Raw genomic sequence first — 26201 nt, 5'->3', positions numbered from 1 at the left:
AGCCTCCATAATAGTGGCTAAACCAAGATAAAGGTATATTTTTCTCTCACATAAAAGTGTGCAGAGGAGGCAGTTCAAGACAAGTAAGGAAAAGACATAGTATCAGGGGCTCAGACTCTTTCTGTCTTGTTCTTCTGCCACATGTAGCTTCCATCCCCAAAGCCACTTCACAGTACAGGATGGCTGCTGAGTTCTAGCCATGGCATCCACATTTCTAGCAATAGAAAGGAGGAGAAGGAGGATAAAAGAGCAATCTCTCCCTTTTACGGGCTTCCAGAAATACTTCTGAACTCTTCTACTTACATCTCATTGATCAGAACTTGAACACATGACCACACCTATTTGCAAGGGAGGTCGGGAAATGTATTAACTGGGCAGCAATATGACCAGCCCAAAAATGGAGGTTCCAGCTAGAAGGGGAAAATGGATATTGGGAGACAATTGGCACTCTGCTACACATCAAAATTATTTCCATGGCTAAAGGAAATAAACCATTGGTTTGGGCCCAGAACCAATCTCAGTTCATCCCCAGGCTGTTTCAGTTTGAAGCTGGAGAAGAAGATTCTTTTTCTTCTATGGTTACTAAGCTGAAGAGGGTCTGAAGGGTTTGGAGCCATGCTCTTCAGCATGCAGAGAAAGCTTGTGTAGATGGAGAGAACAAAGGCGATATGCAGAGAGACACAAACGTGAGAGACTAGGGGAAACAGAATGAAAGAGGGATTGATCGATTAATTGTTTCCCAGTTCCAGTCATTCCTAAGGCCAGGCTCACCCCTGCCCTCTTCTGGTCACATGAGCCAATAAATCCCCTTTTGACCTAACACTATTTCAACTTGGGTTTCCATCACTTTCTGTAAAAGAGCCCTGGCTGCCAATGTTATCTTTTCTTCTGAGAGCAGGGACCACATGGATCCCTATTTTAGCAAAGAGAGTGTTTTCCTAGAATTAAATTGCAGAGGGAATTTATTACTTGATCTCATGTTGAAGGACATGGAATGACATAATTATACTCTTGCATGTCTGTGTAGGTCTTTACAGTTAAATCCATTAGCTCACCTGAGTGTCACAATCTCTCTGAGATATAGGTTTTTCCCTCCCATTGTGTAGACGTGGAACCGAAGCTCAGTGGGATAATCTGGTCTCTCTACATGGCTGCTCAGCAATGGCATCATTCATTGTTCCAGCAGCATTTTGTGTGCAACCTCTATAAAGATGAAGGCAGTGTGACTCCATCATAATTTGGAGGAGAATGCATTTTATATGGTGGATGAGCTTAAGAAAGCTTGGTCCAGGTGCTTTAATACAGGGACAGGCCTCAATGTGGAGGATGACCATTAGACCATTAAATATCAATGGTTTGCCTCAAGGCTCAGGCAGGTGTGTTTTGCAATTGATTCACAACTCACACTTGGAAGCCTTTGCAACAAGATTCTCTATAAAGGGCCTGTTGTGCAGGCCTTCAGTGTGGCCAGTTAAAGGGACAGTCCTCATTGTCAGCACCTGGTTGCAGGAAAAGTGTCTTTGGATTATGAGAATTTCAGAGTTCAGTCTGCATTCTCATCCAGAGAGAAGGGCACTTTCAGCCGAGGTGCCCATCTCTCTCACAGAAGAACTTCGGTTATTTAGGAGCTTGCAGTTCTGCCTTATGTAGCATAAAAGAGACAACTTTAGTTTGGCACAGCTTTATAGCAAGAGTCATTGACTTTACCAGGGTTCCCCATTGTAAGCAAAATAAACTGTGTCTTTAGCAAACATTTTTTTTTAAATAATCTATTGGGAGGATAATTGTATTTACAGGATCAAGAGAAAGCTGGAGGAACAGGTTTGGAAATGAGCAGGAATCAAAGCAGTTGTAGGTCACGAAGCTGGGGTGGAAAATCACATTTCAGCCTGGCGGGGAATGATGGTCCCAACAACGGACATGATAACCACTTCCATGCACAGTTCTGAATGTGCTCCATATTTACCTCGCCCACTCCCATGAGTCAGACTCCCAGGCAGAGGCCTTAATGGTTTGAGTGCTGTGGCTGCCAGAGGACAGGAAGCTGGGGATCTTCTCCCTTCACCTGTGTGGTAGAGGGGCAGACTTGGGTACCTCCCAAAGCAGTAGACCACTCTGTTTACCAATTACAGCTTTATTCATTTAAAAAGCGGTCCAGGTGGCTCCTAGAAGATGTTGGTTTTAAGATCTGAAAATAAAATGACAGAAGCCACTGTGTTCCCACTTTTACCCTCTCCTCCCAGTCCCTCAGAGCCAAATTCAGGGGGTTGGCAAGTGTCATGGGTCACCATGCGCATTCGCTTGTCCACACTGCCAACATACTTATTTTTCAGGACTGTGCACATCTGATCCTGCCTCTGGCCTTCACACACAGAACAAATGCTGTACCTGGTATTCAAGGCCTTCATTATCTGACTGCAAACCTGCTTTCCCCTCCTCCCGCACCTCAGCCCCCACCACCTGTTCTCCTACCATGGAATGATTTACATTCTTCAAACACACTCCTTGGAACATTTGGTTCTAGTCTTCTGTCTCCTCTTCCATCTGGGGAACGCCTGTACCATCCTCTCCCACCACTCCTGTGAGCTTTATTTTGACTCATTTCTTCATTATCTAGGATACTTACTGAGTGATATGGTTTGGATTTGTGTCCCTGCCCAAATCTCATGTCGAATTGTAATCTCCAATGTTGGAGGAGGGGCCTGGTGGGAGGCGATTGGATCAAGGGGGTGGATTTCCCCCCTTATTGTTCTCCTGATAGTGAGTTAGTTCTCACAAGATCTGGTTGTTTAAAAGCGTGTAGCTCCCCCACCCTTCTCTCTCTTGCTTCTGTCCCAGCCATGTAAGACATGCTTGCTTCCTCTTTGCTTTCCACCATGATTGTAAGTTTCCTGAGGCCTCCCCAGCCATGCTTCCTGTACAGCCTGCAGAACTCTGAGCCAATTAAACCTCTTTTCTTTATAAATTACCCAGTCTCAGGTATTTCTTTATAGCAGTGTGAGAACAGACTAATATAGTGAAGTAGACAGAATGATAGCCCCCAAAAGATGTCTACATTTGAATCCTTGGACCCTGAGAATATGTTACATGGTAAAAGGGGTTTTGCAGATGTTACTAAGGTTAAGGATGTTAAGATAGTAAGAGTACCCTGGATTATCCAGGTGGGTTCAATCTAATTGCATAAATCACATCAAAGTAGAGAGGCTCCTGGCTGTGACCACAGAAAGAGACGTAATTATAGAAGCAAGTCAGAGAGGGGGCAGCATGAGAAGGACTTGCCCTGCCATTGCCACCGTTGGTGATGGAGGAAGGCGCCATGAGTGAAGGAGCAGACAGCCTTCACAAGCTAGTAAAGGCCAGGAAATAGACTCTCCCCTCGAGCCTCCAGAAAGTAACCAGCCCTGCTGACACCTTGACTTTAGCCTAGTGAGAGACCCATGTCAGACTTCTGACCTATAGAACTAGAAGGTGATACATCTGTGTTGTTTTAAGCCACTAAGTTTGTGGCGATTCGTTACAGCAACAATGGAAAATGAATATTCCAGTAATTTGTTTTTTTTTTTCAAGGCTATGAAGAGTTACACTTTCTGAGGCTCTGGATATCTGAGAATGTCTCCCTATTGCTGTCCCCTATGAACAATAAATAATTCAGCTGACTTTATAAAGGGTTATTGGGTCATACTCTTTTAAACTAAAAATCTGCAAATGTTGTTTCATTGTTGTGCTGGAAAGGGCTAACACAGCAGGCCTGAGGCTATATCCTCAGAAAAACCTGCTGTCAAGGTTGGCCCTTGGCTGGTGTCTGGGAACTTGGATTTCGGGAGGGTTCCATCATTCTCCGAATGGATCGGAGCAGCTCACTGTGCTTAAGCTGTACAAACAATATGCTTTATGCCGAACACCTGTTTTTCTTCTGGGATTCTGAAATTTTCGTGTGTGCCAGCCAGAGGGTGCCTTAGCGACCAGACCCCAGTAGTACTTCAGGCACTGAATCTCTAGTGAGCATCCTGGTAGACAGCATTTCACGCATGTTGCCATTATTCGTTTGCTGTTGGAATTAAGGGTGCCCTGTGCAACTCCCCTGGGAGAGGTCTCTTGGGAGCTTGTGTCTGGTTTCCCCTTGACTTCGCCCCATGCACCTTTTTTCCTTTTGTTGATTTTGATTTGTATCTTTTCACGGTAATAAATGTACTCACAGCTATGTAATGCTGTGAGCAGTAGTACTCACAGCTATGTAATAGATGTACTACTACATGCTGGGCCCTGAGAGTTCTCCTAGCAAGCCATCAAACCTGGAGGTTGTGTTGGAGACTCCTGACACAGATGTGTCATTGTAGCATTTAGTGCCATGGGGGAAAACTTTGATGCCCGTAACTCCACTCACCCCTTCATAGAAATCCTTTTCTTTTCTTTTTTCCTTATCTGGATATTTATAATCATTTTTCTTTATCCTTGAAATTAAAATAAAATCACTAAAGTCAGTCTAGATGCGCGTCTCTTTTCATTACTTTTCCCTGGTAGTCAATGATCATTTTTAATCTAAACATGCCAGTCTTTAGCTAGGGGAGGTTTTTATCTAGTGTAGCAGGTATTACTGTCAAAATTAAACTTCTTTTTTCTCCTCTAATTTAAAAGAGAAGTGGCACAGAGTCACCTTCATCACTCTTGGAATGCAGGGAAATTCTTTGTGCAAATAGCCTCTTCCCAAGACCACTGAGACAATTACAATGTATCATTGGGTGGGTGGGCACCAGGCCTTTGTGTCTGAGGGCAGGGAGGTCACCAGGAATTGGGTACCTGCTGAAACCCCTCCTGACCCTGGATTACAACCCCTGGTTGTTGGTGCTGGTGAACACAGAAAGGACTGGAGTGGAAGGGCATGTGTGTCCAGTGCTAGGCACTAGCCAGAACAGAGGACGCAGTCCCTTCCACGCCTTGGGGTGCTCACCAAGGCGGTCAGTCCCCGGCCCCAGCTATTGCAGCTTGACTCACTGCCCGCGGTGTTGCACAGTTATTGCGTGGGTCAAGGACATGGCTGTTGCTGTATTCCAAAGATGACAATTGATAATTCCCGCTGGCCGCCGTGTGACTCAAGTGTCCCGTGTTTCTGAGATGACCCACCAAAGCCAGCTGCTACAGGTTAGTGCTGCCCTCACCTCACTGTCATAGCCAGGGATCACAATAACATTGCTGGGCAATATTTGAATTAGGGACTAGGAATTGAGCTCCTCATGCTGGTAATGGACTGGCTCATATTAGAGCTGATTCCACTGGCGGAAAAGAGTACTCTGGAAATTCCTGTACATGATTATTTCTTTAATGATTCTTCTTTTGTTTCTGTTATCTATTGTGTATAACAGACCACTCCCACAATTTAGTGGTTTAAAACAACCGTTGGATTCATTATTGATTACAATTTTGTGTATTGGCAATCTGAAATGTTCTCCTGCTGTACTTTTTATCTCTAAACCTAAGTATCTTCTTAAAAAAATTTCAATCGATCATGTATGAGCTGCAATTGTCTGGTGGCTTGACGAGCTAGAGGGTACAAGGTGGCCTCACTCACATGTCCAGCAGTTGGTGCTGGCTACTGGCTGGGTGTCTTGGTTGCCTTCCACATGGCCTCTCATCATCCAGCAGGCTAAACTGAGCTTCTTCACGGCATGGTTCTCAGGGTTCCAAGAATTAAAGTGGAAGCTCAGAAGTCACAAAAGACTGCCACTTCTGCATTCACTTGGTCAAAGCAAATCACAGGCCAGCCCAAATATGAGGAGATAGACTCTGTCTCTTGCTAGGACTGTTAGAGTTACATTGTGTGGACACAGCGGGGCATGACCCACTGGAGGTCATTTTAATAATCTACCACAGTTTCCTTCCAGCATTTCTACTACCTATAAAATTCTATTGGGGTAAAATAGAGCCCTGATCTTTTTCCCACCTGTCTGATCTTTTTACCCGTCATTTAAGTCTCTCTTTATTTGTATTCACTGGGTTCTAGAAGAATATATCAAGCATATGTTTTAATTTGCAAATTTGATTTTTTTACAGTGTCCAATCTAACTTTCACTAACTCTGTTACCTTTTTATTCATCAGTTATGTTTTTAATTTGAAAAGAAGCTTGTATGATTTCAGACCAATTCTTTTCATAGGTGCAATGTTTTCCTGAATGTAACTGAGAAGGCAACTTAGAGTTTTATCAAAATTTCCCCCTATTTCTTGCCATAAGACTAATTGGAGGCAGCCGTTTTCTCTCAGTTCCTCAAATATAGTCTCTTTCTTTTGAACCATTAAATCTTTTTATATCTGATAATTTTTCTCTATTTGCTCATCCTAACAAATGAGAAAGCTAGGTTTTGTTCAGAATTGGGGGCTGAAATGGGTTTATTTAGAGAATGTGTGACTGTGTGGTTAAGTCTTTCAGTTCCAGATGAGCTAAGAAGGAAAACAATGGGATTTTATGTGTTTTTACCTTTCCAAGATAGAATTTATATGGGATTAGACAGAAACAGTCAAAAGGAGCCACATGGCCAGAAATCTTTTCTGATTTGTTGCAGCAGCCAGAAGCAAATGCAAGCATCTGTAACCTGCACGGCTGCCCTCACTAGAGGCTAGTTGCAGGGGTGTATGATCTTTATTTGTGGAGACACCTAGACCCAGTGCAGGCCGAGGGGCTGCCATGGCCCACCATGCAAAGTCCTAGTGCCAGTCAACCTCCAGAGTCTGGATGTAGATGGAGATTTTAACTCCTCTCCTTCCCTATACTCTTTCTCTCCTCCAGAACTTACCACTTTAAGTTTGAGGAAAGCACTGAGACACTTTTGGGGCCCTCGCTCCTCAGATGAGATTCGTTTTCATTACAATGATTTCCACTGCAGTTAGCCTTCCCCTCTTGCACAATGTCTCATATAAATGTCTCAAATTTCTGGCAAGTGCCACCCTTTGTTGGTATTCATCCCTGGTAGAGATTGTTCTCTACTTTATATTCCTTTGGTCAAATTAGTGGGAATTTGGAAGATGAGGGGAGTTAAGACAGTTTAACCTTGGGCTAGATGACCACACTGTTCCACAGGAAATAAGGTCTGGATCCCAGACAATATGGAGGGTTAGAACCATAACTCCTTGTTTCCCGCCCAGTAAGCCTGGGACACAAAGGGCCAAACTGTTAATGAAATGTGGACAATAAAAGATCCATTCACTTGTGTGTCTTGACCTGTGCCCTTAATTCCCACAAATAAAGCCCACAGATGAGCTTATAATGCAAATTAGAAAAAATAAAGAGTAACAACCTTCAATAAGTGAGAATCAGGCAATATAACAAAAAGCAGAATTAGACAACTACCCCAGATAGTTGAAAATCTGATAGAGACTGTAAAATAAATACTTCATAATAATCAAAAACATTTGTAAAGGCCACGCACAGTGGCTCACACCTGTAATCTCAGCATTTTGGGAGGCCGAGGCAGGCAGATCACTTGAGGTCAGGAGTTTGAGACCAGCCTGGCCAATATAGTGAAACACCGCCTCTACTAAAAATACAAACATTAGCTGGGCATGGCGGCACTTGCCTATAATCCCAGCTACTTGGGAGACTGAGGCACGAGAATCGTTTGAGCCTGGGAGGCAGTGAAGGTTCCAGTGAGCCAAGATCATGCCATTGCACCGCAGCCTTGGTGACAGAGACTCTGTCTCAAAAAAACAAAACAACAACAACAAAAGTGTAAAGGATGCTGAAGACAAGTAAAACAAAACAATATGGGGGAGAAACAGGCAGATTTAGAAAGGAATCAAGTGGAACTTTTAGATGCTAAAATATAATCATTGGAATTAAAAACTCAATGGACACACAATTAGACACAACTAAGAGAATTAGTGAAGTAGAAGATAGCTTTGAGGCTACTATCCAGAATGCAGTACTGTGAACTAAAGAGACTGAAAATGTGAAACTGAAGTTGAGAAGGTGGAATGAGTAGCTCATTCTAGGAGGATAGAATAAGGAGCTCCAATATACATTTAATAGGTTTTGGTATGGTTAGAGCTGAAAGGAATTGGGAGAGGCACCATTAGAAGGGAGAATGGCTGAGAATATTTGATAATTGATGAGAGGCATGAAATCTCTAATGACTAAGGATATTCCCAAATTGATGAAAAGTAAGAATTTTCAGATTCTATAAGCACAAGTACCAAACAGGATTTTTTTTAATCCTAAACATATCAGACTGAAACTACAGAGGACCAAGACAAAGAGAAGATCTCAAAAGCAAAGCAACGAGACAGACTTATTAGAAATGACAGTGAGGCTGGGCATGGTGGCTCACGTCTATAATCTCAGGACTTTGGGAAGCTGAGGTGGGAAAATTGCTTGAGGCCAGGAGTTTGAGACCAGCCTGGCCAACATAGCAAGACGCTGTCTCTATATTAGAAAAAAAAAGATGACTTCTCAACAATAATAGAAACCATAGACAATGAAAAATACTCTAGAATTATTTTTTAATTTAGCTGTTGCTAGCTTTATCCCCTCCAGCTTTATAAAAATATAATTGACAAATACAAATTATATATATTTACAGCATGCAATGTTATATTTTGATATATTTTTACATTGTGAAATGAATAAATCAAGTGAATTAACATACTTATCACTTCATATTCAGATTATTTTGTACTACTGTCTTAGCAATTTTCAAGTATATAATACACTATTAGTAAATATAGTCACACTGCTGTAGAATAGACCTCCTGAACTTATTCATCCTAACTGAAATGTTCTGTGTTTTCATCAACATCTCCGCATTCCCCCACCCGTATCCCTGGACACTTGTAACCATTATTCTGCTCTCTGCGTCTATGAGTTCAACTTGTTGCAGATTGCCCCATGTAAGTGAGATCACGTGGTATTTGTCTTTCTGTGCCTGGCTTATTTCACTTAACACAAAGCCCACCAGGTCCATCCATGTCATCACAAATGATAGGATTTCTTTCTTTTTAAAGGCTAAATAGTATTCTATTGTGTATATATACCACATCTTCTTTATCCATTGATGGACACTTAGGTTGATTCCATATTTTGGCTATTGTGAATAATGCTGCAATGAACATGAAAGTGCAGATGCCTCTTCAGCATACTGATTTCATTTCCTTTGGCTGTAGACCCAGAAGTGGGGTTGCTGGGTCATGTGGTGGTTCTATTTTTAATTTTTTTAGGAACCTCCATACTGTTTTTTTTTTTTCGTTTTTTTTTTTAATTAATTTATTTTTTATTGATAATTCTTGGGTGTTTCTCACAGAGGGGGATTTGGCAGGGTCATAGGACAATAGTGGAGGGAAGGTCAGCACATAAACAAGTGAACAAAGGTCTCTGGTTTTCCTAGGCAGAGGACCCTGCGGCCTTCCGCAGTGTTTGTGTCCCTGGGTACTTGAGATTAGGGAATGGTGATGACTCTTAACGAGCATGCTGCCTTCAAGCATCTGTTTAACAAAGCACGTCTTGCACCGCCCTTAATCCATTTAACCCTGAGTGGACACAGCACATGTTTCAGAGAGCACAGGGTTGGGGGTAAGGTCACAGATCAACAGGATCCCAAGGCAGAAGTTTTCTTAGTACAGAACAAAATGAAAAGTCTCCCATGTCTACTTCTTTCTACACAGACACGGCAACCATCCGATTTCTCAATCTTTTCCCCACCTTTCCCGCCTTTCTATTCCACAAAGCCGCCATTGTCATCCTGGCCCGTTCTCAATGAGCTGTTGGGCACACCTCCCAGACGGGGTGGTGGCCGGGCAGAGGGGCTCCTCACTTCCCAGTAGGGGCGGCCGGGCAGAGGCGCCCCTCACCTCCTGGACGGGGCGGCTGGCCGGGCGGGGGGCTGACCCCCCCCACCTCCCTCCCGGACAGGGCGGCTGGCCGGGCAGAGGGGCTCCTCACTTCCCAGTAGGGGCGGCCAGGCAGAGGCGCCCCTCACCTCCCGGACGGGGCGGCTGGCCGGGCGGGGGGCTGCCCCCCCACCTCCCTCCCGGACGGGGCGGCTGGCCGGGCAGAGGGGCTCCTCACTTCCCAGTAGGGGCGGCTGGGCAGAGGCGCCCCTCACCTCCCGGACGGGGCGGCTGGCCGGGTGGGGGGCTGACCCCCCCACCACCCTCCTGGAAGGGCGGCTGGCCGGGCGGGGGGCTGACGCCCCCACCTCCCTCCCGGACGGGGCGGCTGGCCGGGCGGGGGGCTGCCCCCCCCACCTCCTTCCCGGACTGGGCGGCTGGCCGGGCTGGGCGCTGACCCCCCCACCTCCCTCCCGGACGGGGCGGCTGGCTGGGCGGGGGGCTGACGCCCCCACCTCCCTCCCGGACGGGGTGGCTGCCGGGCGGAGACGCTCCTCACTTCCCAGACGGGGCGGCTGCTGGGCGGAGGGGCTCCTCACTTCTCAGACGGGGCGGTTGCCGGGCAGAGGGTCTCCTCACTTCTCAGACGGGGCAGCCGGGCAGAGATGCTCCTCACCTCCCAGACGGGGTCGCGGCCGGGCAGAGGTGCTCCTCACATCCCAGATGGGGCAGCGGGGCAGAGGCGCTCCCCACATCTCAGACGATGGGCGGCCGGGCAGAGACGCTCCTCACTTCCTAGATGTGATGGCGGCCGGGAAGAGGCGCTCCTCACCTCCTAGATGGGATGGCGGCCGGGCGGAGACGCTCCTCACCTCCCAGACTGGGCAGCCAGGCAGAGGGACTCCCCACATCCCAGACGATGGGCGGCCAGGCAGAGACGCTCCTCACTTCCCAGACGGGGTGGTGGCCGGGCAGAGGCTGTAATCTCCGCACTTTGGGAGGCAAAGGCAGGCGGCTGGGAGGTGGAGGTTGTAGCAAGCCGAGATCACGCCACTGCACTCCAGCCTGGGCACCACCGAGCACTGAGTGAACGAGACTCCGCCTGCAATCCCGGCACCTCTGGAGGCCGAGGCCGGCGGATCACTTGCGGTTAGGGGCTGGAGACCGGCCTGGCCAACACAGCGAAACCCCGTCTCCACCAAAACCAGTCAGGCGTGGCGGCGCGAGCCTGCAATCGCAGGCACTCGGCAGGCTGAGTCAGGAGAATCAGGCAGGGAGGTTGCAGTGAGCCGAGATGGCAGCAGTACAGTCCAGCTGCGGCTCAGCATGAGAGGGAGACCGTGGAAAGAGAGGGAGAGGGAGACCGTGGGGAGAGGGAGACGGAGAGGGAGAGGGAGAGGGAGAGGGAGAGGGAGACCCTCCATACTGTTTTTCATAATGGCTGTACTAATTTACATTCCTACCAACAGCATACAAGGGTCTCCTTTTCTCCATATCCGTGCCAACACTTTTTATTTTTTGTCTTTTTTATAATGGGCTTTCTAACTGGAACAAGGTAATATCTCATTGTGGTTTTAATTTTCATTTCCCTGATGATTAGTAGTTTTGAGCATTTTTTCATATACCTGTTGGCCATTTGTATGTCTTCTTTTGAGAGATGTTTCAGGTCCTCTGTCCATTTTTTAGTTGCATTGTTTTCGTGCTATTGAGTTGTTTCTCTTTCTCTTTAGTGTGTCTACTAGTTTTTTTCCTTGGTGGTTATTATGAGGCTTACATAAAGCTGCTATAGTTATAACAGTTTATTTTAAGTTTATAACAACTTATCTTTGACTGCTCACAAAATCTTTACACTTTAAATTCTCCTCCCTCCCAAATTTTATGCTATTGATGTCACAATTTATGTTTTATGTATTGTATGTCCATTAATAAATTATTATAGCTATAGCTATTTTTAATACTTTTGTCTTTTAACTTTTACACTACAGTTAAAAATTATTTATGCACCTTTATTACAGTATTAGAGTATTCTGAATTTGAGTATATTCTTACCTTTACACTGAGTTTTATACTTTTATATATGTTCATGTTGTTAGTTAGCATCCTTTTGTTTGAACCTGAATTCTCTTTAGCACTTACTATAAGGCAGGGCTAGTGGTAATGAACCCCCAGAACTTTTGTTTGTTTGAGATAACCGTAGACTGCTATAACCCACTCGTTCATTAAAAACAAAAACAAAACTCTAAAACGAATTGGACTGTAAGAGGGGTTGAAAAAGTCATTTTCAGACAAATACCAAGAGAGTTTATCACCAGTCAACCCTTTCTGCAAGAATTATGCTAGGATATGTTTTAGGTAAAAGAAATTCAAGACCAGGAAGGAGTAGTAGAATGAAAGAAGGTATGTCAGGAAAGAAATAGTAAATATGTTATTAAATCTAAACATGCATTGAATGTATAAAGTACTAATTATTATCTGAAGGATATAAAAATAAGGTGCCTTTAGCAAAAACTTGGAACCAACCAAAATGCCCATCAATGATAGACTGGATAAAGAAAATGTGGCACATATACATGGAAAACTATGCAGCCATAAAAAAGAATGAGTTCACATCCTTTGCAGGGACATGGATGAAGCTAGAAACCATTATTCTCAGCAAACTAATGCAGGAACAGAAAACCAAACACCTCATGTTTTCACTCATAAATGGGAGTTGAACAATGAGCACACATGGACACATGGAGGGGAACATCACACACCGGGGGTGGGGGGCTAGGGGAGGGAGGGCATTAGGATAAACACTTAATGCATGTGGGGCATAAAACCTAGATGATGGGTTGATGGGTGCAGCAAACCACCATGGCACATGTATACCTATGTAACAAACCTGCACGTTCTGCACATGTATCACAGAACTTGAAGTAAAATAAATAAAAAAAATTAGGTGCCTTTTACTTTAGGCACCTAAAATACCTGATAACAATGAGACAGGAGGAGTGTACCAACATCCAAGGTGTTCTGACATTCTTGAATTGTTTGGGAAGAAGGTATAGATAGTGATAAACTTGATATTATGCAATATACACATTGAAAAATCAAAGATAACCAATACAAATGGAAACAGTATGTTTTATCTCTTAATGAGAGGAGAGGAAATATGTAATAAAAGAAGATTTGATCACACTGACAGAAGGCAAAAATAAGGCATGGTGAAAATATAAAGCATTAAATAAGATGATAGAAATAAATGCAAATATATTGGTAGTAACAATATAAGCAAATAAACCAAAATTTCTGATGACAGAATACAGGTTCTCAGATGGTCATTTTAATAAAAAGTCCTATGCTATGTATTCTAGGAAAATACTGACCAAAAGAAAGATGGTCTATTTTCCTTTGGCCTGGGAAAATAGACCAAAGTCTCTGATGACAGAACAGAGATTCTCAGATAGATGTTTTTATTAAAAGTCCTATGCTATGTATTCTAGGAAAATATTGACCAAAAGGAAGGTGGTATAGATATTTAGACAAAATTGATGTTAGTGTCAAACACATTATTAGGAATAATGGTGATCATTACATAATGAAAAAAGAAACAGTGGATAAGACATACATAAAGTCTCAAATTATACAGAAACCTAAGGCAGGGACAAGTTGGGTGAATTGAAGAGACAGAAAGATGGCCAGTGTGGCTCTAAACTGCCCCATCTGGGGCATCTTCTCTTCTCACATGTACCTCTCTGAGTGTCATCTCTCCCTGTCTTGATCTCAGTAATCACCTACAAGTGAAGGACTTTTTCTAGACTTCAGATGTGTATGACCAGCTGTTTGCTGACCATTTCCCCCACGCCTCCAGGCGCCCCCCACATGTATAACCTCATCCCCACCTCCTCCTCCGCACATCTACTCTTCTTCCTGTGTTCCCCTAATCTGCATGAAGCTGTCAAAATCCATTCATCACCCAAGCTAGAGAACTGGGAGTCTTCACGTGGACCAGAGTCCGATGTTCACAGGTCTCTGCATGGCAAATTGACATGGCAAGCTACATGGCACTTGGGAAGGGGCTTGGGGGACAGGAATCAGCAAAAGGAGTTAGATCATATTCTTTTAAATTTTTCTAGTTACAAATAATTCAGACAGAAAGAGTGTGTATAATAAATGTTGAAAGCCATTTCAGATCCCAGTTCCTCAAAGACAATCACTATAATAGGGTAGTGATAGGTCCTTTCAGAACTTTTAAATGTATAGGCATTTATAGGTATATGTATACTTATGTTTTGATTCTTCTGCACAATTGTGAATATATTATATGAAAAGCCAGTCCTTGCTTTTTTTCACTGAATATATTTTTATATTTTTCATATCAATTTCTGACATGTTTATAATATTACATTTTATGCCTATATCTTAATTCATTTTATGAATCTATATGTTTCAAGTTATATATATATATAAAAGTCTCAAATTATATATATGTATATAAAATATTCAAATTTCCCACTTGTACAAACAGCTGCAGTGAACAAACTTGGACATGTATCTTTGTGCAGTTGAATGAAGAAATCTGCAGAATAAATTACTAGAACTGAAATGCCTGGGTCAGTGGAGATTCACATTGTAATCTTTGATGGATTCTGCCAAATTGCCTTTAAAACTTTCTCCTAATTTACCCACTCCCCGACTGGGTATACATTTCCCTACCATCTTACCAACATTAAGCTTTATCAATATATAAAAGTGTTTTGCCAATCTGATAGGTAAAAATATATTTTTGTCATTTATTTATTTATTTTTATTTTTTATTTTTGAGATGGAGTCACTCTGTTGCCCAGGCTGCAGTGGCTCACTGCAACCTCCACCTCCCAGGTTCAAGTGATTCTCCTGCCTCAGCCTCCCAAGTAGCTGGGATTACAGATGCCCACCACCACGCCTAGCTAATTTTAAATATATTTTTAGTAGAAATGAGATTTCATCATGTTTGCCAGGCTGGTCTTAAACTGCTGACCTCAAATGATCCACCTGCCTCGGCCTCCCAAAGTGTTGGGATTACAGGTGTGAGCCACTGCGCCCGGCTTACTTTTGTCATTTTAATCTGTACTTCTTTGAGCACTGTCTTTCTTTTAAGTGAATTTCTAGTCCAAGTCTCCTGCACATTTACTATTAGGTTGTTTTTTTTTTTATTGAGTCATAGAAAGCTCTTTATACATGAACACTATTAACCTTTTGTATGTAATAAATGTTGAAAATGTTTTCCCTCAATTTGTCATTTGTACTTTAGTTTTATTTGTAATGTCTTTTGCCTTACAGACATTTCAAATATTTATGTAGTTAAACCTTGTCATTTATTATTTCCAGATTTATTTTTACTTTACCACCTTGTTTTTTAACTACCAGTTAATGATTTTACTCTCTAGTTAATCATGAGTTACTTGGGGGCATAGGCTGCCTCTTACTCACATCTGTAGATCTTTCTCAAGAAATCACTCACCCTAGAGCCCTGGCTATGATAAGTGCTCCGTAAATAAGCACATGTTTAAATTTTATTGAATCGACAGAGTTCAGTGTGCTGTAAAATAAGCAAACATAGAAAATGTAATTCCAAGATTGAAGTTGAGGGAAAAGCTCCAAGGTGCTTTGGCATACAAAACAAAATGCATGGTGAATTAAAACTGTAATTTCAATCGATATATGGAGTAAGATCACGGTTAAATTCAGCTGGCAATAGAAAATTATTAAAAAGATCACAAGAAATGTGTTCTATATTGGTTTCACTTTAAAAGCTGTTTTTGTCCCTGAATTATCTGCTTTCAGAATCAGAGTTTAATACGGAAGAGTCATAGTTTAATATAAAAATAGTCACAGTTTAATATAAAAAGTCAGAATTTAATATAAAAATAACAAAGTGGGGAGTTCAGATGGTAATCTGGATCTCATGTAAAACACATGCCCGGTGACTGGGGCCACTTTAACTACCCTGTGTCTGCTCTTTGCTGGTGACAGTCTACACTGATTGCAGAACACATGGGGAAAAGGAAAGACAGGCTCTTAAGTACGAGAACTGCACACCTCAAGCTGTAATATGCTGCTGTTGTTTACATTCTTAATGCTGCTCATCGAAACTTGGAAGGCATGTGATGTTGGGGAAATCCCTGGGCCTCATTTTGGCTGTTTTAAAAACAAAGCGGGTTCACTGCATGATCTCGGCAGTTCGTCCTGAAACTGAGGTCCTTGGAGCGTACGAGACTCTTCCTGTGAAATGATTTCCAGGGCCCTGCCTTTGTGGAATTCCCCTGTGATTCCATCTGAGGTGTGAAGGCAAACCCATCACAGTTGTTACCAGCTGTTCTGTGAGGCTGCGCTGGGAGCCCCCAAGAGCATCAACACCGACGTCTGTATAAGTTAAATTAAATTCCAGGATCTGGTGTGAAGCTGGAACAGGCCTTGATGTTTTTATCTGTCTGCTGCTGAATTCCTCTGGGGCCTATCGCCTCAGCTGAGAGCACACGAGGGAAAGGGAATGGAGTGGAAGGGACAGTTTTCTCTCTTTTATTTATGTAGGTTAATAATCATTTTATTATATAAATTATACCCTGGTCACTTCCTAAAAGGACTGAAGATAATTCATGAGTTCACTTGAATTATGGTACTCTATCCCTGCCCTATGCCAGACCCAATGCTGGAGGCTTGGGGAAAGAGAAACACATGAAAAAAATCTGATACTGTGTCTTACATGGTATTAGAGAGGCCTTGGGGTATACAGGGTTATGGGGACACATGGAAAGAAAAAGCAATTCTGATGGTCCAGAGGTGGGCATGGAGGGGAAGAGAGAGGGAAAGGGGATGTCAATTTCTTGAGTACCTTTTAGGAAGGAATATGTCATCATGACCAAGGGCACAGGATTTGGCGACAGGTAAGACTGGGTTCAACTTATTTAAACCTCAGTTTTCTCATCAGCAAAATGGAGTAATAATAGAATTTCCTTTATTGGGTTGGTAGGCAGATTAAGTGAAAAAGGCATATAAAGCACTTAGCCATGCTTAGTGTCCAGCACATGGCAAGCATACCATATGTGGTCACTGCTTTTATTATTATTCTGCTTATCAGTCAGTCAGATGCACTTACTATCGAAGACTGCATTGTACTTGGTTTACAGATGAGGAAACAAAGGCTCAGAGAGCTTATATAATTTGCCCAAGGCCACTCAGCTTGAAAATGGCAGAAGCAAAATTCCAATGAACTTCAAAGCCCATTTTCTTCCCACTGCTGTGCTGTGCTGCTGCTGAAGGAAGGTTCCCCAAAGACCTGATATTTGAGTTGGGTGTTAAGGAATGAATAGAGGTTGCTTTGTGGGCCTTAGAGAAAAGGAAATGCTCTACAACCCTCCAGCCTCAAAGAGGTGGATTTGGCCAACAAGCTGAATGAACTCAGAAGTGGATTCTTCCCTCAGAGACTCCAGAATGGAGTGCAGCCTGGCTGACACCTTGAGTTCAGCAGACCCGAGCAGAGGACACGGTCATCCCATGCTCAGGCTTCTGACCTACAGAACCGCAAACAAGCAAATGGGTATTGTTTTAGGCTGATAAATGTATGGTCATTGGTTATGCAGCAATAGAAAATGAATACAATGATTCAAATATAAAAAGAACATGTATCAAACACTTCATTTAACTCAGTAAATGAGGGGATCCATCCGCTGTTACAACTCACTCAAAGGAGAATTCACAGAACTGCACAAGTAGGCAATCAAGAATGTTGAAATAGATACAAATGTCATCAACATCCCCAGAGCAATAAGCAATTGCATCTCCAGTGGGTAAAATTCATTTGTGCTTTTTTTTTTTTTTTTTAAAGACGGAGTCTTACTCTGTTGCCTAGGCTGGAGCGCAGTGGCACAATCTCGGCTCACTGCAACCTCTGCCTCCCGGGTTCAAGCGATTCTCCTGCCTCAGCCTCCCACGTAGCTGGGGCTATAGGCCCCTGCCGCCACGCCCGGCTAATTTTTTTGTATTTTTAGTAGAGATGGGCTTTCACCATATTGGCCAGGCTGGTCTCAAACTCCTGCCCTTGTGATCCGCCCGCCTTAGCCTCCCAAAGTGCTGGGATTACAGGCGTGAGCCACCGCACACGGCCAATTCATTTGTACTTCTATGGACTGGAATTATTTGCATTGCTATCAGTTGTCTACAACATATAAAATTGTAAGATAGCTTGAAAACAGTTAAAGGAGCAGATAACCCAAAAGGATGCTTTAGAAGAACATCTAGTGATCATGTTTTGCCCATTTTAAAGTCTTTCCCAATTTTTCCTGATGAGTGGCATGGAAATACCGCTTCAAGATAGGCCACAGCCACACACAGTCCTCCACAACCTATTGTCGCCACTCAATCCTGCCACAGAGAAATTGTGAATTGACTACAGGCTGGGATTCCATGAGGCCAAGTGCGGCAGGGGCTTAGCCCAGCCTTGACCATTTACAAGCCCTGGAACATCCATTATCTGGCTCATTATTTTGTCTTTTCACAAGATTCCTGTGGGTAAGGCAGAACCAGTAACAATTATCCCCATTATGTTTCCAAGGAAACTGAGGGTCAGAGAGGAGGAGGACATGTTCAGGGTCACTCAGGGAGTCAATGACAGAACTTGGATATGACCTCCCTTTCCATCAGCTTACCATCTTCACTGCCCCCTGCCTCCTTATCCTCTGACAGGTAAATTTCTGTCCCTCAGCCCCTTTCCTCCTGCCTGGTGGACCATCCTTCCTGCAGCCACATTGCAGGGCGGGGAACCTGGGCACTGGCTATGGCCTTGCCTGTCCCTTGTCCAGTCTGCAGGCAGCAATCTTGCTTTGCAAAGCTGGCCTGATCCAGTGCCCCTGCCCCTACCAGACCCTCTCCCATTGTGCACTGAACACATTCATGCCTGTGTTCCCTTCCCTTGCTCCAGCAGCCCGACAGCCCCCAGAACAATGCCCAGACATGACTTACCCAGACCTGCTGTGCCAGGGCCACCTGCTCTGCCTCCCAGGCTCTCCACCCTGGCCACTTGCCTCTGTTGGTTTCCCATTGGCACGGGGTTGGGAAGTCATCTGTGAGACCAGGCACGCCGGTCTGCTGGAGACTCTTCCCAAACTGTCCTCCTGACCCCATGCCAAGCACTGGTGCAGGACAAGCCATTGGTGCCAGGCTGAGCAGCTGGGCGGCAAGCTGGCCACCTGCTCAGCTCACAAAGTATAAAGTTTACTTTGTGTTGACATTTTTTAATTTGTAAACTCTATTTTAATCTTTAATTTAATAGAGACAAGGTCTTGCCATGTTGCCCAGGCTGGTCTCAACCTCCTTTTCTCAAGTGATCTGCCCACCTCAGCCTCCCAAAGTGCTAGGATTACAGGTGTGAGCCACAGCGCCTGGCCTGCATTGACTTTTGAATCCTGGAGCTGAGACTGTCAGAGCTGACAGGTTTTGAAAAGAGCCTTACACTATTCCGATGGGGTCACGGAAGTCCAGAGAGGAGTAGGGACCTGCTCGTTGACTGGCAGCCTGGTGGTTGGCACTGGACCTGCCAGGTCAGGCGGGGGTTTAGTACTGACCCATCCTCACCATCTGCTCCTTGGAGGCCCCTGGGGGTGCAGATCACAGGGAAATAGGGTGCACATTGATCAGGACATTTTGATTCGCTAAAAAAACAGAATGGCCAGGGAATCTGAGTGCTGGCATCGAGTGTCAGCTCAGGTGCGTAATATCAGTGTTTCAGTCTCCCCATGCTTCATCCCTTTCCCTGTGCCTGTATCTTAGGCTCCAGTCCTGTACGGGAGACACATGCTATCTCCTAGACACAGGACGCTCTTCAATACCACTAAGCCTTCCACTGTGTGGCTCCTGCTGCCTGCACTGCCCTTTTCCGATGCCTACTTGTTTTAAGGTTCTGGCAAAACTCCTGCATGGACCTCTGAGCGTTTCCTTCTGGCTGCACTCCGGCTGCCGCCAGTGGAACTGACCTGCCTCAGCAGCCCCTTACCCTTCTCGAGAGATTCACAGCACCTGGGATACTTGCTTCCTCCTTTTATTCACGTGTCCCTAGAGCCTTTAGTTTGCAAGCCTCTTGGAGTGGCGACCAGGCATACCTCCATATTTGCACACCTGGATGAGGTCTGGCACACACTCAGTCCCGGAATCCAGTTTCAGCTCAGTTGTCTGACATCAGGATCTAGTTTCCTCACTCCTCATCCTCTTGCCTAAATGTGTGTTTGCTACAAGTCTGCTGAATGTGGGCTATACTTAGAATACAAAAAGGGACAAATATTTTCAGTGATATTTATGAAGGCTTTAGAAAGCATCAAATGTATGTGATTATGGAGAACGATATGGAAATAATATAACGAAAACCCTTAGAAATTTACCTTGGTTAAAAATATAATAGAGAAATGATCTTAAAGGCAATTTAACGAGTTTCTGATCTTAACTAAATGGAATGTCTTTTTCACATATTTTAAAATACATCCTATTTATTAAAATTGTAACAACTTTTTAAAAGGTCCAGATGTCTTGAACGATCCTTGAGCATGAATATTTTTGAAATGCATTAAACTTTTTTTTTCATCCAATCTGTGGGATGGAAAAAGAACACCTTTTTTTTTTTTTAATAAAGGGAGAAAGGAAAGAAGGAAGGAGAAGAGAAAGAAAGGAAGAGAGAAAGACAAGTTTGGAGGGAGGGAAGGAAAATGGAGAAGGAAGGAAGAGATGGGAAGGGAAGGAAAGGGAAGGGAGAGAACAAAAGAAGGAGGGGAAAGAGGGAGGAAAAGTCACAATACCCCTTTGGTTTCCTTCATTGTGCTGGTCATACGATGCCATTGGGGTAAATGATGCCACCTCTCTGGGTCTTGGCTCCTTCATCAAAAGCTAGAGTTGGGTGCTGTCGTGAGGGAATGCTGGGAGGGCAGATGATCATTGCATTATTTATATTTCAATTACCTTGGGCCCAGTCTTTGGCTACTGACATTTGAAGCCAAATCTCTTCCTCATTCCAAGCCTCAGTTTCCAAAATGAGGGAGTTGGACCAGATGAGAGGAAGGTCACTTTCTGCTTCCACAATCTGTGGACCAGCCTCTGGCAGGCTGATTGTAAAAAAGCAAAAAGTGCTGCAATAAACATATGTATGCATGTGTCTTTATAGTAGAATGATTTATAATCCTGGATAAAGAAAATGTGGCACATATATACCATGGAATACTATGCAGCCATAAAAAAGAATGAGTTCAGGTCCTTTGCAGGGACATGGATGAAGCTGGAAACCATCATCCTCAGCAAACTAACACAGGAACAGAAAACCAAACACCACATGTTCTCACTCATAAGTGGGAGTTGAACAACGAGAACACATGGATACCGGGAGGGGAACATCACACATCGGGGTCTGTTGGGGGTTAGAGAGCAAGGGGAGGGAGAGCATTAGGACAAATACCTAATGCATATGGGGCTTAAAACCTAGATGATGGCTTGATGGGTGCAGCAAACCACCATGGCACATGTATACCTATGTAACAAACCTGCACATTCAGCACATGTATCCCAGAACTTAAAGTAAAATAAAACTAAAAAAGAAGAAGAAAAAAGATGATGTCAGAGCCAGGAAAGTTCCAGTGCCCAGGTTTGAAAGGAGACATCTCCCTCTTTCTCACGGTTTCCCCACTGTGTAGAGCCAGACAATTCAGCCAGCTGCCGGGGACCTCCAATGAGTCCCTCCACATTTCAGATCCTTTTGTCCTTTGTGCCTGGAAGTCGGTCAGCTCACTCTGACCTTCTGCCTGTCCCTCATCTGTCAGAGCAGCTGTTGGAAAGTGAAGCAGTTGGATCTAGACAACAGGGGAAGAGTTGTTTGCTTTCGTGCTGGGGAACGAAGAAACCCACACAGCTCCTTTTGTGGGTTGTATTAAAATGCATCTGCAGGCGTTATTATTCCTAATTATAAGTAGCTTAATAATGTCTCTGAAGCAGAGGGTATATGGAGATGGCCAGGAGTCTTGAATTCGTATTGTAGCTCAGCTGGAAAAGGGAAGGATGCTTTGGCATAAATACATGGGTGTTCAAATTGATGGCTCAGGGGTCCAGGATTTATAGAGCCAAGCTTTGGGAATGGTTGTGGGTGGCACCCACTTTCACTGTGTCCATGGCTGAGTAACACCCTTGGCCTTTCCACAGGGCGTCTGCTCAGCAACACCTTCCCCGTCCTGGGCATTCAGTTTTGTGAGGCAGTTTTTTATTTTTATTAAAATTTTTTTTTTTTGCAACAGAGTCTCTCTCACTGTTGCAACACTGTCACTCTCTCATGCAGTGGCACAATCTCGGCTCACTGCAGCCTCTGCCTCCCGGGTTCAAGTGATTCTCCTGCCTCAGCCTCCCAAGTAGCTGGCATTACAGGCATGCGCCACCACGCCCAGCTATTTTTTGTATTTTTCATAGAGATGGGGTTTCACCAGGTTGGCAAGGCTGGTCTCAAACTCCTGACCTCCAGTGATCTGCCTGCCTCAGCCTCTCAGAGTGCTGAGATTACAGGTGTGAGCCACTGCACCCGGCCTTGTTAGGCAGTCTAGACAGAGCATAATAAGTGGCACTGTGACAAGCAGAGGGACATTGAACAAAGCCATGCTAAGGGGAGACATCACAAGACCAGCTCGGTGTGTAAATGCAAGCAGGACTCAGTGAGTTTTCTATTTGTGTCCAGGAGGTGAGGGGACCAAATGCCTCAGAGGCTGGCATTTGAGACCCATAACCTCTCCGGTGGCAGATGGGACACTGATGCTTGAGCTGTGACCTTCCTGGGTTCCCACAGCTGGGCAGAGCAAAGTGAGGTAGAAGCCCAGGGTTCGGCCTGGCCCATTCCTCTCCGTTTTCCACCATGGGGCCTCCCAGGGTTTCCTCTTCAAGCCTCAAGGCAGGCCAGGGCTGGAAGTAGCACAGAGCTGATGAAGGGGAGGCAGTGCCATGCTGTCTGCAGAAGTCTAGAACCTTGGGCCATTAAGGAGGTGCTAAGGCATAAAGAGACTCCTTGAGCCAAGAAATAGACCAAGAAGATGCTTGCCATGGGTAGGGGGATGCCACGTATCTAGGGTCAGATGTACATTTGACGTGATTTCTGCAGTTCACCGTTTGGCAAATGCTGACATTAGTGAGGCACACAGGGCCCAACAGAAAACGGAGCCGTGACCTGGGAGGCGGGGAGCTGGGTGTGTGGTGTGGTTCTCTCTCTGCCTCCCAGCCCCTGCTGGTTCAGTGCTGAGCACCTATGATGATGCCAGGTGCTACACAAGTGGCTTTCATCTGCTTCACTCATTCTGTCCTTGTGCTGTGTGCTTCCTGCTCCCTGGTAACCCCAAGACTGACTCAGGATAGAAGCGACAGGGAGGGGACTCCTGGAGAAAGCCCCCAAGGTGCTGTGGGCAGAAGCAGGGTCCTTCTTACTCTCTGAGTGTCCGTGTTGACAGTGCTGAGCAAAGTGCAGTGGGTGGTATGAGGCCAGGCTGCCCTTTGTACACCCACCAATAGCGTCAGCAGGGAAGTCAACATGCTACCGTGAGAGCTGTTGAGACCAGAATGCAAAGATGCACGAGGAATAGAATGAGTGCAGAACTGAGAGACATCACGAGCAGGCAGGAGAGCAGCCCTCTGCCCAGCCCACTCTAGGGGTCCAGCCCTCTGATGGAGCCGCCGGCTGTGACTCTGGCTCTCTCGTGGTGGGCCCTCTCCTGAAGCCGCATCCCACAGACAGCTTGGCCACTCCCTTGCTCCTTTCCCAGGGGTGGTGAGCAGCCCAGAGTCCTGCCCAGCACTGCAAAGGAGGAAGAAACCTCAGCCAATGGAAGCCGAGGGGAGCTGCCAGGAGCTGTCCTGAAGGGAACTGAGCAGAGGCTGCTGGCTGAGCCACTCTGGAGGGGGCTGCTGGAGTCTCCCAGAAGCTAAGGCTGCTCACAGGAGCCAGGGACTCTCATATTTGCCCTGTCGGTGCCATTGAGCAGAAGAGGAAGACAGGGATGTATCAGAGGGCTCCAGAACCTGCCGTGGGAGCCCAGGCTGGCCATGTGAGGAAAGCTTCTGGTGGGCATGAGTCTCATTTTGAAGCTGGTCTCTGGAATCCAAGCTTCTGGAGGGTCCCAGGTGCAGGGTCCCCTGAAAAGCCCCAGGGTCCTGGTAGGAGCCTGGCTGCACCCACCATTCTGTTGTATAATTGGGAGCAATGGAGGCAAAGAGGATGCCATGACTCACCAGGAATCCACAGGGGCAGAGCCGATCAAGGAAATCCCATGGATCCGGAGACACGGAGAAACCTGTGTCTCTATGTGGTGAGCCACGGCGTGGAGGCCTCAGCTAGGCAGGGGCAGCACCCAAGCTGGAGCTGGGAGGGAGGGGACACACTTGAGTGAGTCAGTTCCTTAAAATAGATCTCTCTCCCTCTACACACACACACACACACACACACACACACACACACACGCACACTGACTCTGTTTCTCAGGAGAAGCCTGACTAACACACATAGTGAAGAGGCAACCAAAGGTGGCAGAGTGGAAGCTACTATGGAATTTTGGAACAAGAGATAGCAGACAATGACATGTAAATTCCCCACCTCCACCCCAGATGCAAAAATCCTAAGCAGCACAGCTCTCCCTGGCTCTCTGGGGGATTGGTTCCAGGACCTGCTCACAAATCCCAAAATTCACAGACACTCAAGCCCCTGATATCAAAAGGCGTAGTATTTGCATATAACCTGTACACATCCTCCCCTATACTTTAAATCTTCTCTAGATTATTTTAAAAACCTAATACAATGTAAATGAGATGTAAATAGTTGTTATACGGTATTGTTTAGGGAATTATGACTGTATAAAAAAAAGTCTGTATGTGTTCAGTATAGACACAACCATTCTTTGGATTCAGAGAGATGACTGTATTTAGGAAGAGACTGAATTTCTTATCAAAGCCAGGCTAGGGGTGTATCAAGCAGATTCAACGCAGGGAACACAAATCCCACTGGCTCCTTAGGCAGGAAAGGATTTAACCAGGGCATGGGTGCTTACCCAGTCATTGGGAGGGTTAAAGGACTTGGCTCCAGGAAGAACTCTCAGGACTGCACAAAACTGACCACTGGGGTTGCTAATGCCTCTGAGAACCCACTGGGGCTCTGCTTGAATACAAAAGCTAAAACTTCCACTGTTGCAGCTGCTGCTGCAAAAGGCTCTGGGTACCAGCAAGCTGGAAAATGGACAGGGAACCCTGCTGCAGGGAAACTGTGTTTCTGTGGCCTTGCTTGCTGGAAGAACAGCAAGCAGGGGTCAGGAAAGTGGGGCTTCTGCACTTCTGATTTGCAAAACTCATACGAGTGTACCCAATGGATGGTACTTACTTCCCATCCATGATTCTCACCACAGGGCATCTGGGAAATGTCATCTTAAGCTGCCCAGCCTCTCCAACCAGAAGGAGGGTGGACTGGAGCAATCCAGTTCACAGGACTGTCCAGGGAACTGGACTCTGAAGACTGTGGGGGCCTATAGGAGTGCATGCAAACAGGAAAGCGAGGCTCACACAGACAACAGCAATCAGCCACAGGGTGAGCAGCCATGCCTCAACCACGCCTGCCTTCCTAGATGCAGGGGATAAAAGAGCACAGCTGCTTGGAGCAAGAAAGGGTTTGTTGCTCTCCATGTGGAAGGTAGAGAGCATTTAGCAGGAGATGGGAATTTCGGTCCAAATGCAGTTGAGATCATATCTTGGCTTTGTTCCCCACAAACGCACAGTTATTTGTATTTCAGCATAAAATTCAAACTCCCAGAACCTGATTAACAAAGGCAGTGCACCACGCATTCCCCCAGAGGCCAGCCAGATGGAAAGCCCAGCGGAATTCCACTTTGAAGTATTCTGTGTTATCTGACTCATTTGCAAAAGAAATGAGCTTTATGGGATGTTCGAATGTTTCCAGACATAACCAGTTGCCCCCAAGCGAGAATAAAGTTATACTCTCTCCTTCACCTTGTGCACATGCAGGCGGGCACGGATGTACACAGCACAGTTAGAATCAAAATATGCCTCCCTTGCCAGGCTCCCCAGGGGGCTGGCAGAAGAGGGAATAAAAATAAAAATGCCTTGGATGAAGTGATGATGGATTTGTTTCTCCCCCACTTTGACAGTGGAATCAGAACAACTGTATGGCTAGTCTAACAAATAGCACATGCCTTTGTCATTAGGAAAATGCAAAATAGGTTTCTAGGTATGGTCAGTCATACAGCCTCTAAAGCTCTGTGGTATCAGGAAAAGCACAGATAGATTTGGGTTCAAATCTCAGCCCTGCTGATTCCCAGCCATATGACCCTAGAAAAGTAGCTTCTGCTCTCTGAGCCTCAGTTTC

At 45.2% G+C, this 26201-nt stretch overlaps 1 long non-coding RNA gene across 2 annotated transcripts in view, besides 4 other annotated features; it reads right to left on the bottom strand.

The window, feature by feature from the left end:
• LOC107987065 (uncharacterized) overlaps positions 1-19095 on the bottom strand; it is a 65083-nt gene extending 45988 nt beyond the window's left edge. For both annotated transcript variants that reach the window (XR_001746670.2, XR_001746668.2), the window contains exon 1: positions 18794-19095. This is a non-coding gene — a long non-coding RNA (uncharacterized LOC107987065). The remainder of the gene's footprint in view (positions 1-18793) is intronic.
• Positions 9174-9683: an enhancer, noted in NCBI's record as "NANOG-H3K27ac hESC enhancer chr9:38325532-38326041 (GRCh37/hg19 assembly coordinates)". NCBI's record gives its function as "activates a minimal SCP1, AML or CMV promoter by ChIP-STARR-seq in naive H9 embryonic stem cells {active_cell/tissue: H9 hESC(naive)}" and the evidence as "EXISTENCE:reporter gene assay evidence [ECO:0000049][PMID:30033119]".
• Positions 15836-16175: an enhancer, noted in NCBI's record as "active region_28413". NCBI's record gives its function as "activates an Ori minimal core promoter by ATAC-STARR-seq in GM12878 lymphoblastoid cells {active_cell/tissue: GM12878}" and the evidence as "EXISTENCE:reporter gene assay evidence [ECO:0000049][PMID:35858748]".
• Positions 18315-18814: an enhancer, noted in NCBI's record as "H3K4me1 hESC enhancer chr9:38316401-38316900 (GRCh37/hg19 assembly coordinates)". NCBI's record gives its function as "activates a minimal SCP1, AML or CMV promoter by ChIP-STARR-seq in primed H9 embryonic stem cells {active_cell/tissue: H9 hESC(primed)}" and the evidence as "EXISTENCE:reporter gene assay evidence [ECO:0000049][PMID:30033119]".
• Positions 23745-24303: an enhancer, noted in NCBI's record as "H3K4me1 hESC enhancer chr9:38310912-38311470 (GRCh37/hg19 assembly coordinates)". NCBI's record gives its function as "activates a minimal SCP1, AML or CMV promoter by ChIP-STARR-seq in naive H9 embryonic stem cells {active_cell/tissue: H9 hESC(naive)}" and the evidence as "EXISTENCE:reporter gene assay evidence [ECO:0000049][PMID:30033119]".

This window comes from Homo sapiens, chromosome 9, assembly GCF_000001405.40.
Source record: "Homo sapiens chromosome 9, GRCh38.p14 Primary Assembly".
Classification (NCBI taxonomy): Eukaryota; Metazoa; Chordata; class Mammalia; order Primates; family Hominidae; genus Homo; species Homo sapiens.
The sequence above is the reverse complement of the archived record's forward strand: the minus strand, read 5'-3'. Positions and strand labels throughout refer to the sequence as shown.